The sequence below is a fragment of the Homo sapiens genome, chromosome 5 (assembly GCF_000001405.40).
Source record: "Homo sapiens chromosome 5, GRCh38.p14 Primary Assembly".
In the NCBI taxonomy this organism is placed as follows: domain Eukaryota; kingdom Metazoa; phylum Chordata; class Mammalia; order Primates; family Hominidae; genus Homo; species Homo sapiens.
Genome location: NC_000005.10, coordinates 142,352,908 through 142,368,913, shown reverse-complemented (window position 1 = coordinate 142,368,913; position 16,006 = coordinate 142,352,908). Strand labels below are relative to the sequence as shown.

The 16,006-nt window shown below is 47.7% G+C and overlaps 1 long non-coding RNA gene across 1 annotated transcript in view, besides 9 other annotated features; it reads right to left on the bottom strand.

Moving 5' to 3' along the window:
• SPRY4-AS1 (SPRY4 antisense RNA 1) overlaps positions 1-16,006 on the bottom strand; it is a 138,762-nt gene that overhangs the window by 95,141 nt on the left and 27,615 nt on the right. The window contains exon 3 of the long non-coding RNA NR_120664.1: positions 15,331-15,688. This is a non-coding gene — a long non-coding RNA (SPRY4 antisense RNA 1). The remainder of the gene's footprint in view (positions 1-15,330; positions 15,689-16,006) is intronic.
• Positions 4,298-4,347: an enhancer, noted in NCBI's record as "active region_23319". NCBI's record gives its function as "activates an Ori minimal core promoter by ATAC-STARR-seq in GM12878 lymphoblastoid cells {active_cell/tissue: GM12878}" and the evidence as "EXISTENCE:reporter gene assay evidence [ECO:0000049][PMID:35858748]".
• Positions 4,585-5,306: an enhancer, noted in NCBI's record as "H3K27ac-H3K4me1 hESC enhancer chr5:141743173-141743894 (GRCh37/hg19 assembly coordinates)". NCBI's record gives its function as "activates a minimal SCP1, AML or CMV promoter by ChIP-STARR-seq in primed H9 embryonic stem cells {active_cell/tissue: H9 hESC(primed)}" and the evidence as "EXISTENCE:reporter gene assay evidence [ECO:0000049][PMID:30033119]".
• Positions 5,307-6,026: an enhancer, noted in NCBI's record as "OCT4-NANOG-H3K27ac hESC enhancer chr5:141742453-141743172 (GRCh37/hg19 assembly coordinates)". NCBI's record gives its function as "activates a minimal SCP1, AML or CMV promoter by ChIP-STARR-seq in primed H9 embryonic stem cells {active_cell/tissue: H9 hESC(primed)}" and the evidence as "EXISTENCE:reporter gene assay evidence [ECO:0000049][PMID:30033119]".
• Positions 5,307-6,110: a biological region, named in NCBI's record as "Sharpr-MPRA regulatory region 738".
• Positions 5,816-6,110: an enhancer, noted in NCBI's record as "tiled region #738; HepG2 Activating DNase unmatched - State 5:Enh, and K562 Activating DNase unmatched - State 5:Enh". NCBI's record gives its function as "activates a minimal TATA promoter and a strong SV40 promoter by Sharpr-MPRA in HepG2 and K562 cells {active_cell/tissue: HepG2 | K562}" and the evidence as "EXISTENCE:reporter gene assay evidence [ECO:0000049][PMID:27701403]".
• Positions 7,832-8,070: a silencer, noted in NCBI's record as "fragment chr5:141740409-141740647 (GRCh37/hg19 assembly coordinates)". NCBI's record gives its function as "represses an EF-1alpha promoter that drives an FKBP-Casp9 reporter gene in an ReSE screen in HepG2 liver carcinoma cells {active_cell/tissue: HepG2}" and the evidence as "EXISTENCE:reporter gene assay evidence [ECO:0000049][PMID:32094911]".
• Positions 11,564-12,213: a silencer, noted in NCBI's record as "silent region_16471". NCBI's record gives its function as "represses an Ori minimal core promoter by ATAC-STARR-seq in GM12878 lymphoblastoid cells {active_cell/tissue: GM12878}" and the evidence as "EXISTENCE:reporter gene assay evidence [ECO:0000049][PMID:35858748]".
• Positions 12,251-13,052: an enhancer, noted in NCBI's record as "H3K27ac-H3K4me1 hESC enhancer chr5:141735427-141736228 (GRCh37/hg19 assembly coordinates)". NCBI's record gives its function as "activates a minimal SCP1, AML or CMV promoter by ChIP-STARR-seq in naive H9 embryonic stem cells {active_cell/tissue: H9 hESC(naive)}" and the evidence as "EXISTENCE:reporter gene assay evidence [ECO:0000049][PMID:30033119]".
• Positions 13,053-13,854: an enhancer, noted in NCBI's record as "H3K27ac-H3K4me1 hESC enhancer chr5:141734625-141735426 (GRCh37/hg19 assembly coordinates)". NCBI's record gives its function as "activates a minimal SCP1, AML or CMV promoter by ChIP-STARR-seq in primed H9 embryonic stem cells {active_cell/tissue: H9 hESC(primed)}" and the evidence as "EXISTENCE:reporter gene assay evidence [ECO:0000049][PMID:30033119]".

The window sequence follows — 16,006 nt, the reverse complement described above, 5'->3', positions numbered from 1 at the left end:
GAACCCAGGAGGCAGAGGTTGCAGTGAGCCAAGATCACACCACTGCACTCCAGCCTAGGCAACAGTGTGAGACACTTACTCAAAAAGAAAAAAAAAAAAAATTAGCCAGGTGTGGTGACATGCTTGTAATTCTACCTACCTGGGAGGCAGAGGTGGAAGCAGTGCTTGACCTCAGGAATTTGAGACTATAGTGAGCTAGGATCACGCCACTGCACTGCATCCTGGGCAACAGAGCAAGACCCTGTGTCAAAGTAACAGCAGACTAGGTCCACAACAGACTATTCAGAAGTTCAAAGAATTTTGCAAATATGCAAAGATAACACCACCAATTTGTATTTTCAGGGACTCACTCCTTTTCTGGTTGTTCCAGGAAAGGTTTTATAAGCCTCCTTTTTAATTTTTTTCATTGTGGATATGGAAGTGGTTCCATTAGCCAAGATATATGAATTTTTAACAACTCCCTCCCCCAAAAAATGATCCATTCACATAAATGAATCTTAGTCTTCATTTTATATTGATAAGCTGCAGGGCTGACACAATGTTTTTTTCTTTTAAAACTGTTTTGTCATTCTGAGAACGCGATGCTTTTTGCAAACACCCTTTTGAGGGAGTCAGGTCTTTCCACTGTGACAGAAAAATGTGCCGTGTCCAAAAGTGTGTTTTGAGCAGCACGGCATTCCTCCAGGCAAAGAGGCGGAGCAATTTCTTTAAATCTTGAAGATTTGAAGGAGAAGCTTCATCCACCATCTCTGTCTTGGGCCAAAAAGACAAAAACCCACCCTCTACCAGGGAAGTTTTTAGGAAACAAGCTCTGGTTTTCTCTGCAAACGATTCTGTCTTTCTTTAGAAAGAGTTCAGCTATGTGGGACTAACCCTATTGTAACATCTGTATTCAATCTGCATCTGCACAGAAAAGTTTGCTTAGGGAGCATCTCCAGGTACAGGGAGAAATGGGCTGGATGACATAAACCAGAGGGAGAGAGACAAACCAGGAAGCAGAACACCAGCACTCTGTTCTTCACCTTACCACTTCCAAGCTGTGCTTTGGCATGTCTCTTGACCTCCCTGAGACTCAGTTTCCTTATCTGGAAAACAGAGATAAAAACACCTTTCCTGTCCACTGCAAGAGAGTTGTTCCTTCCCTCCCACCTTTAGCCAAGCAGAGAACTGCTGCCACTCTGACCCAGCTGTGACCCAATTTGCACACATATAATAATGACCAAGTAGTGCAGGGGTTGCAAACTCAAGTGTCTGATGCAAAAATGAATGAATGACATGTAGCCGATACTGTCGGTGCCTCACCCAGAACCCTCTGCCAGTTGTCAGCCCCTCTGAACATCAGTGTAATTCCAACAGCCCAAACCTTAGACCTCCTATGCTGTGTCCCTTTACTACCACTACCAGGTAGTCAGTAGACCTTAGCCAATGACCTTGCCTCAGGCCAAGACAACTCTGGAGTTCCCTGTAGGCTCAGGCTGAAGCTACCCTCCAAGGGCCTTTGCATGAAATTGCACCTTTGCTTGGTTTCTTCCCCTTTCCAGTCCCAATTCCCTCACTCCCTTGTCAGCTTCTGCTGTTTCAGGGTCTGCCCTTGGGTAACCCAGCCTAAGATAAAAGACCTGGGAGTTGGCCGGGCGTGGTGACTCATGCCTATAATCCCAGCACTTTGGGAGGCCGAGGCAGGCGGATCACAAGGTCAGGAGTTCGAGACCAGCCTGGCCAATATGGTGAAACCCCATCTCTACTAAAAATACAAAAATTAGCCAGGTGTGGTGGCACACGCCTGTATTCCTAGCTACTCAGGAGGCTGAGGCAGGAGAATCGCTTGAACCCGGAGGGAGAGGTTGCAGTGAGCTGAGACCACACCACTGTACTCTAGCCTGGGCAACAGAGTAAGACTCTGTCTCAAAAAAAAAAAAAAAAAAAAAAAAAAGACCTGGTAGTTCATGCCACATCTAAAGGGGGCAGCTGCTGCTCAGCTCCAGCCTATCCAACCACGTGAAGATGCAGGTGCAATGTTTCCAGACATTCTGATGTTTCAAGAGAGTCTAGAGATTTTTTTTTTTTTTTTTTTTTTTTGAGATGGAGTCTTGCTCTGTCGCCCAGGCTGGAGTGCAGTGCCGCGATATTGGCTCACTGCAACCTCTGCCTCCCGGGTTCACGTGATTCTCCTGCCTCAGCCTCCTGAGTAGCTGGGACTACAGCCGCCCGCCACCACGCCCAGCTAATTTTTTGTATTTTTAGTAGAGACAGGGTTTCACCATGTTAGCCAGGATGGTCTCGATCCCCTGACCTCATGATCTGCCTGCCTTGGCCTCCCAAAGTGCTGGGATTACAGGCATGAGCCACAGTGCCTGGCCAAAACTGCCAATTTTTAAGTGCTGGCCATTTAATTTTTTAAAACTTCACACTATGGAGACCAAATTAAACACATCTGTGGATCAAGTCCAGCAATTTCTAAGTACCAAGTGCCTAATATGTATTTAATACGCTGGCCCCAAGTTCTTTGCATGTGTCATCTCATATAATCCTCACAACATATCCTGTGAGACAGACATTATCCCCATTTTACAGAAAAAGAAACTGAGACAAAAGAGAGGTTAAGTAACTTGCATAAGTTCATATTGCCAGGAAGTAGCAGAACTGATTTTCAAACCAAGCTTTGTCTGACTGTAAAGACTGTGCTCTGAACCACTGAGCGGCTCTGCCTTCCCTTCTATATTTAAGCAACTCCCCGGAGGGGAATCAGAAACTTAGGTGAATAAGTCACCCAACATGTGGGTTGAGGAGAGGGGCAAGAGGGGAGGAGAAAAGCCTTAAGCATAATGTGCGTTAGAGCATTGTCCATAACTGTGACAAACCGAGGACAGTGCAAATGCCCAGGAGGAGAAAATGGTTACACAAATAATGGTTCACGGAATTCTGTGCTCTCATTTTAAACAATAAGTACGAAAACTATAAAGGAAAATATCTATAATACAATACTGAGTGAAAAACACAGACAAAATCATACTGACCACAAAGTTGGCAGGTTTTGGATGGAATCAGACCTGGGTTTGAATCCCAGCTCTGCCAACTGTGACTATAGGACCCCTCAGAGCCTCCGCTTCTCCAACAGAGTAATTGGGATAATAATTCCTCCCTTCTAGAGTTATTGCAAGGATTCGGTGAAAAATATGTAAAAGGTTTTAGCACAACCCAGGCCCATGGTGAAAGAACTCACACCATGTGCAGATGTGTGTAGGAGCAGGGATAAAGACGAGAAGAGACCCCAGGCAAATGGGCAGGGTCATTTAAGACACTGAAACATTATAAGAATTTCAATTTTTTCATCTAAGGTTGTTACAATATCTCAACAAAGTATACAAACATAAATGAGGGCTTTGAACTAGAGTTATACAATTAAATAAGTTTCCTCTAATTGACAACCCTGCCCTTCTCACTCATCCTGGGAGGTGCTGTGCTTACAAGTATGAGGTCAGCTCTTGGGACAATTTACACAGAAATCAGAAATTATGAGCCTCTGTAGCTTCTCCTCCCCAAGCGCATGCAACTCTTTAGCCCTGCCTATTACCTGTTTTCTTAAGGAAATCTTCCATAAAGGCCGGGCGCGGTGGCTCACACCTGTAATCCCAGCACTTTGGGAGGCCGAGGCAGGTGGATCACAAGGTCAGGAGTTCGGGACCAGCCTGGCCAAGATGGTGAAACCCCGTCTCCACTAAAAATACAAAAATTAGCCAGGCGTGGTGGCAGGCACCTGTAATCCCAGCTACTCGAGAGGCTGAGGCAGGGAAATTGCTTTAACCCAGGAGGCAGAGGTTGCACTGAGCCGAGATCGTGCCACTGCCCTCTAGCCTGGGTGACATAGCAAGACTCCATCTCAAAAAAAAAAAAAAAAAGGAATCTTCCACACAAAACCAGGGCAGGAAGCATCGAGGAAGGAAGGCTGAGGATGAAGGGCAAAGTCGAAATGCAAAAACACCGTAATTAACGTTTTGTTTAGAGGCGCTTTCAGAGATTTTGAACCTTAGTCTCAGAACCATTAGACACCCTTCAGCAAACCACAGGGCTGTCCACCAGGGTGTCAGCCCCAGTTCCTTCATTCACTGTGAAACGTGCACCTCGCCTACGGGTTCTCCCTGCTTGGGTTCTGGAAGCAGGCTACGGCAGGCCCTGTGCAGTGGGCGGGGTGTGTTCAGTCAGAGGCAGATGACCGGGGCGGGGCTTGTTTCGAGACAGTTATCGGTGGAGACAGGCTCAATTATTTTCATTATATGGAGTCAACAGAGACAGGAGGCATAATGGGTCTCAGTCAGAGAGGCAAAGGTTAAGGTAAGGGAAACAGGGGGAACCAAGGGGGGCCCTCCCAGGCCCACCGTGACCACTGAACCATGATGCCAGGGAGGGTGAGTGAAAACGGGAAGATGTCGGGTGTTTGTCTGGTCCTGCTCTGCTGGATCCAGCATGAACCCCTGGAGAGCCAAGACGGCATTTCCTGTGTGAGTGACTCTAAAAGCTTCCAGACAAGGCAGGTGTGCTGGCTCACGCCTATAATCCCAGCACTTTGGGAGGCCGAGGCTGGTGGATTGCTTGAGCCTAGGAGTTTGAGACCAACCTGAGCAACATGATGAAACACTGTCTCTACTAAAAATAGAAAAATTAGCTGGGCATGATGATGCGTGCCCGTAGTCCCGGCTACTTAGGAGGCCGAGGTGGGAGAATCGCTTCAGCATGGGAGGTGGAAGTTGCAGTGGGCCAAGATCATGCCACTGCTCTCTAGCCTGGGTGACAGAGCGAGACCCTGTCTCAAAATAAATAAATAAAAATAAAAGCTTCAGGTGGACAGAGCTTCATCAGGACCTCATCTGAATGGTCCAGCATTAGAGGGCAGAGTACCCTAAGCCCTCTTCTCTTGCCTTCCCACCCCTTTATCCTTTTCCTCTCCATAAATAACAACCAATGTTATAAGGGTTTGCTGCGTGCAAGGCACGGTGCTGAATACCTGGCACATATCTTTTTTTTTTTTTAAGACAGGGTCTCGCACTGTTGCCCAGGCTGGAGTACAGTGGCATCACAGTTCACTGCAGCCATGACCTCCCTGGCTCAAGCCATCCTCCTGCCTCGGCTTCCTGATTAGCTAGGACTACATGCACACACAACCACACCCAGCTGATTTTTGTATTTTTTGTAGAGACAGGGATCTCTCTATGTTGTCCAGGCTGGTCTTGAACTCCTAGGATCAAGCAACCTGAACATACGTTATTTCACTCTCTCATTAAACCTGTCAGGCACTGTGATGATCCCATTTAACCAATGAAGAAATTGAGACTCAGAAAGGGTTATAGGACTTGCCCAAGCCAGTAAGGGGCAGAATCAGCAAACCAAGGTCCATTGGGCCTACAGCCCAAGCTCTCCACTACAAGTTTCCTCTTTTCTTTTTTTTTTTTTTTTTTGAGGCGGAGTCTCGCTGTCTCCCAGGCTGGACTGCAGTGGCCTGATCTCGGCTCACTGCTAGCTCCGCCTCCCGGGTTCACGCCATTCTCCTGCCTCAGCCTCCTGAATAGCTGGGACTACAGGCGCCCGCCACCACGCCCGGCTAATTTTTTTTTTGTATTTTTAGTAGGGACGGGGTTTCACCGTGTTAGCCAGGATGATCTTGATCTCCTGACCTCATGATCCGCCCGCCTCAGCCTCCCAAAGTGCTGAGATTACAGGTGTGAGCCACCGTGCCCAGCCCCTTCTTTTTTCTTTCTACTGTTTACTGCTTATCCTCTGCACAGGCCAAAGGCCTCTCCCTCACCCTAAACCAGGCCCTGTACCTGTGTGGGTTTGGGGGCTACTCAGTAAGGCCCTTCAGGTGGAGGAGTTACTGTTTCTGAGATTTCTCAAGAACAGGAAACTTCCCCTTGCTGCCTGCAATAAATCCAAGCCTGCCTTCCTTTGTGATTTCACCCCGGGAGCAACACTCCAGCATGACTCATCACTGGGCCGGCAGGAGATCTCCTCTGGAGACTAGAGGTGACCTTGGCCAGGCACTCACATCCTGTGCCTGTTTTCCCGTTTGTCAAGTGGACAGCCCCAGCCTCCCCACCAGGCTTGTTGTGAACTATATGGCTGAACACAAAGCTTGTAGAAAATAATTTTTGAAACAGAATCTAAAATACTGACAATTACTCTAACTTCAGCCTATGTCCCACACACCAAACCAGGATCTAAATCCTTCCCAACCTTAATCCTGGCTGCAAGAGTTCTCCTGCACTCCTGCTGCCTTCTTGGTGTATGGTCGAACTAGGATTACTGGAAAAAAGACAGCTGACAGGGACAATAACCCGTTTTCCAAATGCGATGGGTCACTCCTCCTTCGGCTCCCCCATCACCCTATATTATAAGCACTTAGTTAATATCAGCTAACATTAATGAAACCCTGATTGAATATGTAAATTTATATTGTTTTGCTCTGGCAGGGCGCAGTGGCTCATGACGGTAATCCCAGCACTTTGGGAGGCAGAGGCAGGCAGATCACCTGAGGTCAGGAGTTTGAGACCAGCCTGGCCAACATGATGAAACCCCGTCTCTACTAAAAATACAAAAACTAGCCGAGCCTGGTGGCGCATGCCTGTAATCCCAGCTACTCAAGAGGCTGAGGCAGGAGAATCGCTTGAATCTGGGAGGTGGAGGCTGCAGTGGGCCAAGATCGCGCTAGTGCACTCCAGCTTGGGTGACAGAGTGAGACTCTGTCTCAAAAAGAAAAAAAATTATTTATATATATATACACATATACATATATATATACATATATATACACGTATATATATATATGTATATATATAGTTTTACTCATGTAACCCCTTATTACTAGACCCACTTTGCAAATAAGAAAAATTAAGTTTCAGACTGGTTGATTACAGAAACTCAAAGGTCACACACAGCTGGCAGGTGTCAAAGCCCAGATTCAAGATCGGGTCTGTCAATCTACACACTGTACTGTCTTCACTTTGTTTTAAAATTACAAATCCCGGTACTACTCCCTAGCCACTTTCTCTGCTTTATTTTATTTTATTTTTTGAGATGGAGTTTCGCTCTGTTGCCCTGGCTGGAGTGCAATGGTGCAATCTTGGCTCACTGCAACCTCCACCTCCTGGGTTCAAGCAATTCTTCTGCCTCAGCCTCCTAAGTAGCTGGGATTACAGGCATGCGCCACCATGCCCAGATAATTTTTTTTTATTTACTAGAGACATGGTTTCACCATGTTGGTCAGGCTGGTCTCGAACTCCTGACCCCAAGTGATCCACCCGCCTCGGCCACCCAAAGTGCTGGGATTACAGGTGGGAGCCCACCATGCCTGGCCCCTTCACTTCATTTTTCTGCATAGTTTCTATGCTCTTTGGTAAGAAATTAACAGTCACAACCCTCCTTTACCCAGGTAGAATGTAAATCAATGTGGGCAGGGATTTCTTGGTGTTTGGCCACTGCTGTATCCCCTCAGTGCCTAAAACAATGTCTGACACATAGTATCAGCAAATACTCAAGGTATTCAATAAATATTTTGCCCAAAACAAATTAATTTAGCCAAAAATTCTCATTAGCTATTTTTGACTGTCCTTTCTACTAGATTCTAAATTTGACAGCATTTTCTTCATCTCAGTCCCCATAACTGCCCCCCATCCCTCCCTGTTTCAAGTTTAGAATGACAGTTTTGAACATAGCAAAATATTATTTGATACTGCAATGTGATTTGGGGGTGGCCTGCTGTTTGGGGAATTCATTCTCCTCTCCACTCCCCACAACAAATGGGCACTCAGTAGAAAACTGTCTTAGGAAGGCTGGAAAATGTCTAGCACTTTCTCATCTTATCCCTCGGTTAGGTTCCTCCCGTCCCTGCTCCCTGAGGCTGATGGACAGGCAGGCGGGACAGCCCGATCGATCGATGCAAAGGTGCCCTCCTCCGCTCTTGTTTGCTGCTGCGTTTCTGACTCACATCTTCCCTGGGCTGTGGGAAAGTGTTCAGTGTGTGGCTTCACAAACTGCAGTGCAGCAGGGAGAGCGGGCAGTTGGAAATGATATGGAAAAGAAAGGATCTAATTAAGCAGAGTAGGTGATAGTGTCGGGAAGAAAAAGCAAGCAAGTGGCAATTTGGATATCTGCCTGCAAATAAAAGAGATGACTGTCGTTTTCTCCTCTGGCTCCTGTTTGCCCTATAAATCTCAGTTCACAAATCCAAGTGTTTTAATTATCGCTGTATAATACAACATGCTGTGCTGGGACTATCTTAGGGAAATTAAAACAAAGGAGGGGGAGACAGAGGGATTCAGGCTACCCCGTTCTCCCGTTTCTCTTGTTTACAATAATCCAAAGGTGTTTCTCCCCCCTTCTGCCATAAACACAACATGGGGTTTTCCAGTATTAAACTTATCACCTTCCTCCACTCACAAAAAGGAACTTCAGGCCCTAAGCTGTTGTCAACCATGCAACTCAGTTGCCAGGTGTCACCTTGGCCACTGTTGCTGTTTAATCCCCAAGAAATCAAAAGAACCAGGTCATGAATGAAATGCCAGGTCCAGCTCAAAAAGGAGAGTCCCTAGTGGGAAGCAGCATGATGATTAAAACTAGCATTTGAATATCACCTTCGCTACATACTAGCTGTGTGGCCTTGGGTAAATCATTTAACCTGAGTCTCACACTTCAAAGAAAACAAAACAGTGATAAGCAGGATTAAACATATAAGACTACAAAGCACTTAGCACAGTGCTCAACACACAGCAAGTGCTATGCAACACAGTCCCATCTCCAGTCTTTATCTCTGCCATTTCAAATACCTACAGTAAGCTTCTCCCAGGAAGCTGCCTGGTTCACTCCTTCCCTTCTACCTTATCAGTGAGCCTTCCTCACCCTAAATAAAATAGTAGCCCTCCCATCACACACACTGCATTTCCCCTTACATGCTTCATTTTTGTCCATAACAAAGTACTCCTTGACATTTTACATATATACACATACATTCACGTGTCGCCTAACGACTGGGGTAAGTTCTGAGAAATGTTCTGAGAAATGCTTCGTTAGGCGATTTCATCGTTATGCGAACATCGTAGAGCTAGAGTGTACTTACTTAAACCTAGATGGTATAGCCTACTACACACCTAGGCTATACAGTACAGCCTATTGCTACTAGGCTACAAACCTGTACAGCATGGTACTGTACTGAATACTGTAGGCAACTGTAACACAGTGATAAACACTTGTGTATCTAAACATAGAAAAGGTAATGCACTGCACTAAGCTAAGACATTAGGATAGCTATGATCTCACTAGGCAACAGAAATTTCTCAGCTCTATTATAATCTTATGGACCACCGCCGTTATCTGCAGTCCATCATTAACTGAACCATCATTATGCAGCCTACGACTGTACACATATATATGTATAGACATATACACATATACATACACTTACATATATATAAAATTATTTTATTCGGGCATCTTCACCTAAATTCCAAGAAGGCAGAACTTGTGTTGACCACTGTATTTCCAACGCCTGTAACAGTAGTGCCTGGCATGTAATGGATGTTTAATAAATATTATTAACGGGACCAGTAAATAGAAGCTATTTTTTCTATAATGGTTGGAAGGGCCCTCATAGACCACCTAGACCAAAGTTCTTCACAGGCCAGGAAACTCAGACCAGGTGGCATCAGATGACCTGCCCTATGGTTCCAGCTTCCCCAGAACTGAGTGGCGGGGACTAGGGACCCTGACTTCAGTGGCTTTGCTCTGCCTCAAGTCAGCCCATTCAGTGCCCACAACAACTTAGCAGGTTGGTGCCCTGTGCTCCTCATCTGAGGAATGGAAACAAGGAGATGGTTCACCCTCCCAAGTGTCAGGATGTGGATGTCCCAGTGACTGGCATTCTATAAAAGCAAAAAGGACAGGTGGAGACACAGAAGTCCGCTCTGGAAATCCATCAACAAATGTCCTCAGAGTTGAGGAACTGCAGACAGCTGCAGCACAAAGGAGCCAAAGGCCACTGTCTTTCTCTCTCAAAATCCACCCGCACCAAGGACCCTCTTGGCTTTCTAAATGATTGAAGGCAAGCAACTGTGGTCTCATTTCTGGGGTGCCTGGATGACCTCTTGCACAGACACAGGGGATTCTGTGGAGAAAAATGCCAACCCCTGCTCCATCATTTCTAGGTGCACGACCTCTCTGGGTACCAACTTTTCGTGGCTTAGGATCAAATGAGAAAACACGTGCACAGCACCTGGCACAGTGCATGGCACATAGCAGGCACACGAAAACATTAGCTGTTAGGAACCGCACGTTTAATATTCAAAGTCAACCCTCCATACATCTCACCAGCTCTTACCATTGCCCCCTAGAGCTGAGAAATCTGAATAGAAGGGCTTGCATTGGACTGGGGCTATTCAGCCTTAGAAATCCAACTCCAGGTAATCGTTTAAAGGAGCCCATTTTCCTATTCAAGTAGAGTGAAAAGAACTCCACCTCAGTCCCCAAGCCACTCAGGACCTCTCATAAGGCTGGCAAAGGGAAGATTCCAGTCTGAGAGCACTGGCCACCTAACTCTATTCCCAGAAAGTGGAGTCCGGCCCAGAGCTCCCTGGAAGTTGAGGTAACAAGACCCAACAAAAATATCCTGTATTCTCTTCACCACCTGTCTCCGCAAGCGAGTAATAAGACAAAGTATTAAAGAGAGACATCACCAGTAATCAGAATGTGGTAACTAAATGAGTCTTTTGTCTTCCACTTACAATGTGCAAGCTGGTCCGGTTCCTCAGCCTCTCTGAACCTGCTTCCTCAACTGTTTAAAGAGAAAAGCAACCTCTACCTCCTGGGGCTGGTCAAAGGATGAAATGAGAGAATTCTGTTCAGCGGTGTCTAGGACATTAGCTGCTGCTTTTAGTTCAAGAAGCCCAGTGCAGCCTATGCCGGAATAAGCATTACTTGCTCCAAAAGAACACTCTGTACAGCAAAGGCAGCCCTTTCCTAGACCACAGACCACACCACTCCAACATGGGCCACAGGTTGGGAGCAAACACTTACTCCACCAGAGGCTTCCTGAAATCTTACAAGCAAATGGAGTGAAAGTAGAAACTGAGACCCAAACAGCTTCTGAAAAGTGGATGCCCGGCTGGAAGTGGTGAGGGACGTTCCCCCACGAAAAAACTTGGACTTGGCAATCATTGCTTTGGACTTCGCAATGTAAATTGCCACTTTTGATGACTTGGGGATTCTAGAATGTTCCGGTCGCTCACTGATTCACAAATATAAGGTCTGGGGTGACCTAAACCTGCATGGTGTGTTCCAAGAGCCCCCAAAGCGTTCCAAGAGCTGGTGACTTTCGGCTCACGTAACTAACCTGGGCCTCAGTTTCCCTCCAGACCCTAACGAAGGAGATAACGGTTGTTGCCTCTACAGGGAAGCTGCGAGGCTAAACGGGGATGGCGCGCTAAGGCGCTCCCTAGACACAGCACGGAGCTCCCCGCGCGCGGTTCCCATTCGCTCCCGGAGAGAAGGGCGGCGCGCGGGCTCACACAAAAGCCCAGGACCTTCCTCCGCTGCAACTGTAGAAAAAGCAACTGGAACGCGAGCTGGGGCAGCGGCCGGGCCGGGGGCTCCTCCCGCAGGCGCCCAGGAGCCGCTCGGCCCGTGGCCCGGCCGGGGAGCAGGCGCCCCGCGGGAGCGCTGAGGCCCCGCTGTGCCGAACCGGGCGGGGGCGGAGGAGGCGGAAGCGGGGGCGGCCGGAGCGCGGTGGGGATGTTTAAAGGAAATTTACAATCATTTCCTCTCTGTGGTTTGGTGACAAATCAACAACATCCTGTTCTTTTGTGAGGCTCCGGGCGCCTGCGAGGCGGAGGCAGCGCTCCGGCTCTTAAAGGGACACACACAGGGCCCCTCTCCCAACGGTTCCCTGCGGCTCCCCCCCAAAAAAATACAGCTTCCTCAAGGCGTCACCTCCGGGGGCGCGCGGCCGGAATGCGGGGGCTGTGGCCGGAGCCGCCGCCAGGCCACGACCTGGATCGCGTCCCTCACCACCCCCCACCCCGCCCGACGGGAGGAGACGGCCGCGGCGGCGGCGCACCAATCTGAAGGACGTCCCGGCCCGGGGCCATGTCCCGCCGAGGGGGTGGGCAGGGGGCGGAGGGGCGTCCTCCCGAGGGTTCCCGTCCCTCCCCCCAACCCCAGGGCAGCTCCGCCGGGCTTCGGACCTCCGGGTAGTTATCCCCCTCCCCCAATCCCCTGGCCTCGAGTTTTGCAGTCCCAAAACTCTGGATTTATGGTTAAAATGTCGACGTACGCACAGGAGGTTTATAAAATGCCAAAGCAGAGACTTCCCGAGCTGTAGAAGTAATGAGAATCAGATGGTCGGGACCAGGAAAAAAAAAAAAAAAAAAAAAAACTACTCAACTGGCCTCCTGGGATTTCGTTCATTCAGTCATTTAATGAGTATGTTTTACTAAGTGCTGGTCACTACTCTAAGCCCCCGCACCGCAGGAACAACACAGATACGGTTCCTGCCCACAGGGGGCTTAGATTCTCAAAAATGAATGAACAGGATTATTTCACATCTACAAGTGCTATGAGTTTTTTAATGGGTCACATTCTAGAACAGCGGCTTTCTGTAGGGACACCTCTCTGAGGGGTCTGACCTGAGGCATCCAAGGATGAAAAGGCAAGGGTGCTAGGAAGAACTGGGTTGGAAAGGTCCAAACATTATTATCAGGAAAGAGCTCAGAAGTCTCATCCCAAAGACCGAGTGAAGGGCAGCCCCAGGGCTGCATTTTCCCCTTGAATACAAGCCTTGATAAGGGGCTTGGGTCCTTCTGCTCTTGCTATATCGCCTGAGCCTTTCCTTTCATCTCTCGGCCTCACAGCTTCCTATAAGGAAAATGAGACACTGAACTAGATACAGTACTTCTCAACCTAGGTGCAAATGAGAATTCCCAGGGAGGCTTTCAAAAACACTGACACCCCTGACCCCACCTCAGACAAAGGGAATGAGGATCTTTGGTAATGGGGCCTAGGCACTGGCATTTCTGTAAGACTTCAAAAGTGAGTTTAGTGTACAACCAGGGTTAAGAGCCACTGACTTAGGGCCGGGCGCGGTGGCTCACGCCTGTAATCCCAGCACTTTGGGAGGCCGAGGCGGGCGGATCAGTTGAGGTCAGGAGTTTGAGACCAGCCTGACCAACATGGAGAAACCCCGTCTCTACTAAAAATACAAAATTAGCCGGGCGTGGTGGCGTGCACCTGTAATCCCAGCTGCTCAGGAGGCTGAGGCTGGAGAATCACTTGAACCCGGCAGGTGGAGGTTGCGGTGAGCTGAGATGGCGCCATTGCGTTGCAGCCTGGGCAACAAGAGCAAAACTCTGTTTCAAAAAAAAAAAAAAAAGAGCCACTGACCTAGATGATATTTAAAGTTTGGGTTTAAAATGCAGTAAGGTGGCTGGGCGCAGTGGCTCACGCCTGTTAATCCCAGCACTTTGGGAGGCCGAGGCAGGCAGATCATGAGGTCAGGAGATGGAGACCATCTCCTGGCCAACATGGCGAAACTCCGTCTCTACTAAAATACAAAAAATTAGCCGGGCGTGGTGGCACCGCCTGTAGTCCCAGCTACTTGGGAGGCTGAGGCAGTGGAATCCCTTGAACCCAGGAGGCAGAGGTTGCAGTGAGCCGAGATCGCGCCACTGCACTCCAGCCTGGTGACAGAGCAAGACTCCATCTCAAAATAAAATAAAATAAAATAAAATAAAGTGCAGTAAGAAGGCCAGGCGCGCTGGCTCACACCTGTAATCCTAGCACTTTGGGAGGCCAAGATGGGCAGATCACCTGAGGTCAGGAGTTTGAAACCAGCCTGGCCAACCAGCCTGGCCAACATGGTGAAACCCTGTATCTACTAAAAATACAAAAAAAAGTTTAGCCAGGCATGGTGGCAGGCGCCTGTAATCTCACCTACTTGGGAGGCTGAGGCAGGAGAATTGTTTGAACCTGGGAGGCGGAGGTTGCAGTGAGCCGAGATCGTGCCCCTGCACTCCAGCCTGGGCGACAGAGGGAGACTCTGTCTCAAAAAAATAAATAAAAATAAAGTGCAGGAAGAGCTATTTCAATTCAGGGCATAATCATCCACGTTCATTGAGTGCTTAGCAGCTGCTATATAATACCCTAAGTAAGCTACATATGTATTTTATCTAATTTAAGTTACAAAGAAAAACCTTACCAACTTAGATATTATTATTATTCCTATTTACAGATGAGGAAACTGGGTACAGGGATGACACAAAATATGGTCAAGGGCACACAGGTATTAAGTGGTCTTGTCTGTATCCTGTAAGCTGAAATGCCATTCCAGTGGCAAGGAACAAATTTCTACCTAATGGGGTTGTTAATAAGGCAGAGTAGCTACCCAGAGAAGAGCATGGGGTGCTATAAGCCCAGGTTGCTCATACATCTTGGACAGAGGCAGCGGACTGGCCTAGATGCCCAGAGTTCAGGTCTTAAAAGAGAGATTGTAACTCAAAGAAAACAGACTTTTATGTTTCTTGGTGCTAATCCTCTCGGTCGTTTTCAGAGATGATTCCCATAAATTGTTAAAGGTATGCCTTGGCCAGACAGAGGAAACATTTGGCAAGGTGAGGAGGAAAAGGAACTCCCTGTGTACCCCAGTAATAACCAGGATAGGATACACTCCCCCACCCTCCTCACTCTCCCTTCTAGGGCCCACCCCATGCCCTTTTCACCTTTGACCACCTTCCCATTTGTGCAGTTCCCTGAGGGAGGACCCAGGGAGAGTATAAGCATGAGCTGGGACAGGTTCCCCAGGAAAGTAAAAGATCTGAGAAACCAAAGATAAGAAGAAAAGGAAGATGATGCATTCCTACAGTGTGGCACTGTGCTGCTGTTAATAATAAGAGAGCTGATAGACCAGAAAGATGCTTGTAATATACAAGGTGCAGAATAGAGTCCTCTCACTGATATTTTTGTAAACGACACACACACACACACACACACACACACACACACACACACACACACACCCAGAACCATCTGGAAGGATAGACTCCAAAGGGTTAGGGTTAGGAGTGATGGCTGGGCAGAGGCATGAGGGAGGGTCGTAAAGGGGTGTGTGTAGTGTAAATCTATACTTTTACTTTCTATTCATCTCCATATTATTTAAATTGGTGACAACAATAATGTATTAATTTTTTAAGATAAAGACACTTCTACTGACAAATAATAAAAATAAATATTAAACGGGGAAGCATAAAAACCCACCCTGGGTCTTGGGAATTCTATGCAGGGTAGCAGGGTAGATACCTGGTAACGCCATCTTTCAGCTCTTCCCGGTTGATGTCCACCGTCCCCTCACCTTCCCACAGCCTTCCATTCCAGTGGCAGGCTCTTAACTGGTCAGCCTACTCCCTTTCAGTCATCATGTGTTACACACAATTTTCTGGGTTTTAGAAGATGGATTTGAGAGGTGCTGGCTCCAACTGACGTAAGAAATGACAAAAGTCACATGAGAGGGAAAAATTGTCCAAAGTGCCATTCGGTGGTGGTGCTGGTGGTGGAGGTGGGTGACGGGGATGGCATTGGAGTTCAAAGGCTCTGACTTCCCCAGTGTCTATGTGTCGCTCTTCTGGAAGCTTAGAAATGGAATCTGACAGTCCAAGCCCTGAAGAAAAACAATAGTGCTTTGTGGTAAAGACCTTATTGCAAAAATCTGAAAGCCTAGGGGTAGGAGGTCTGCCTACAACATTATGTGCAGAACTGTTCCCTCCAATTAGGAGCTGATAACTCAGCAAACATATGACCTGAGCAACTGGCAGAAGGTGAAATGTCATGCTCTAGGGTGGAATTGTTTGGCCACTCTGTGCTTCCTTTTATTTATGTTTTTTTAGATCTTTGCTGTTTATAAACAGAATAATGGCATGGTTCAGAGCATGAGCTAAGGAGACAGAAAACCCACGTGGGATTTCTAGCTTCACTAACT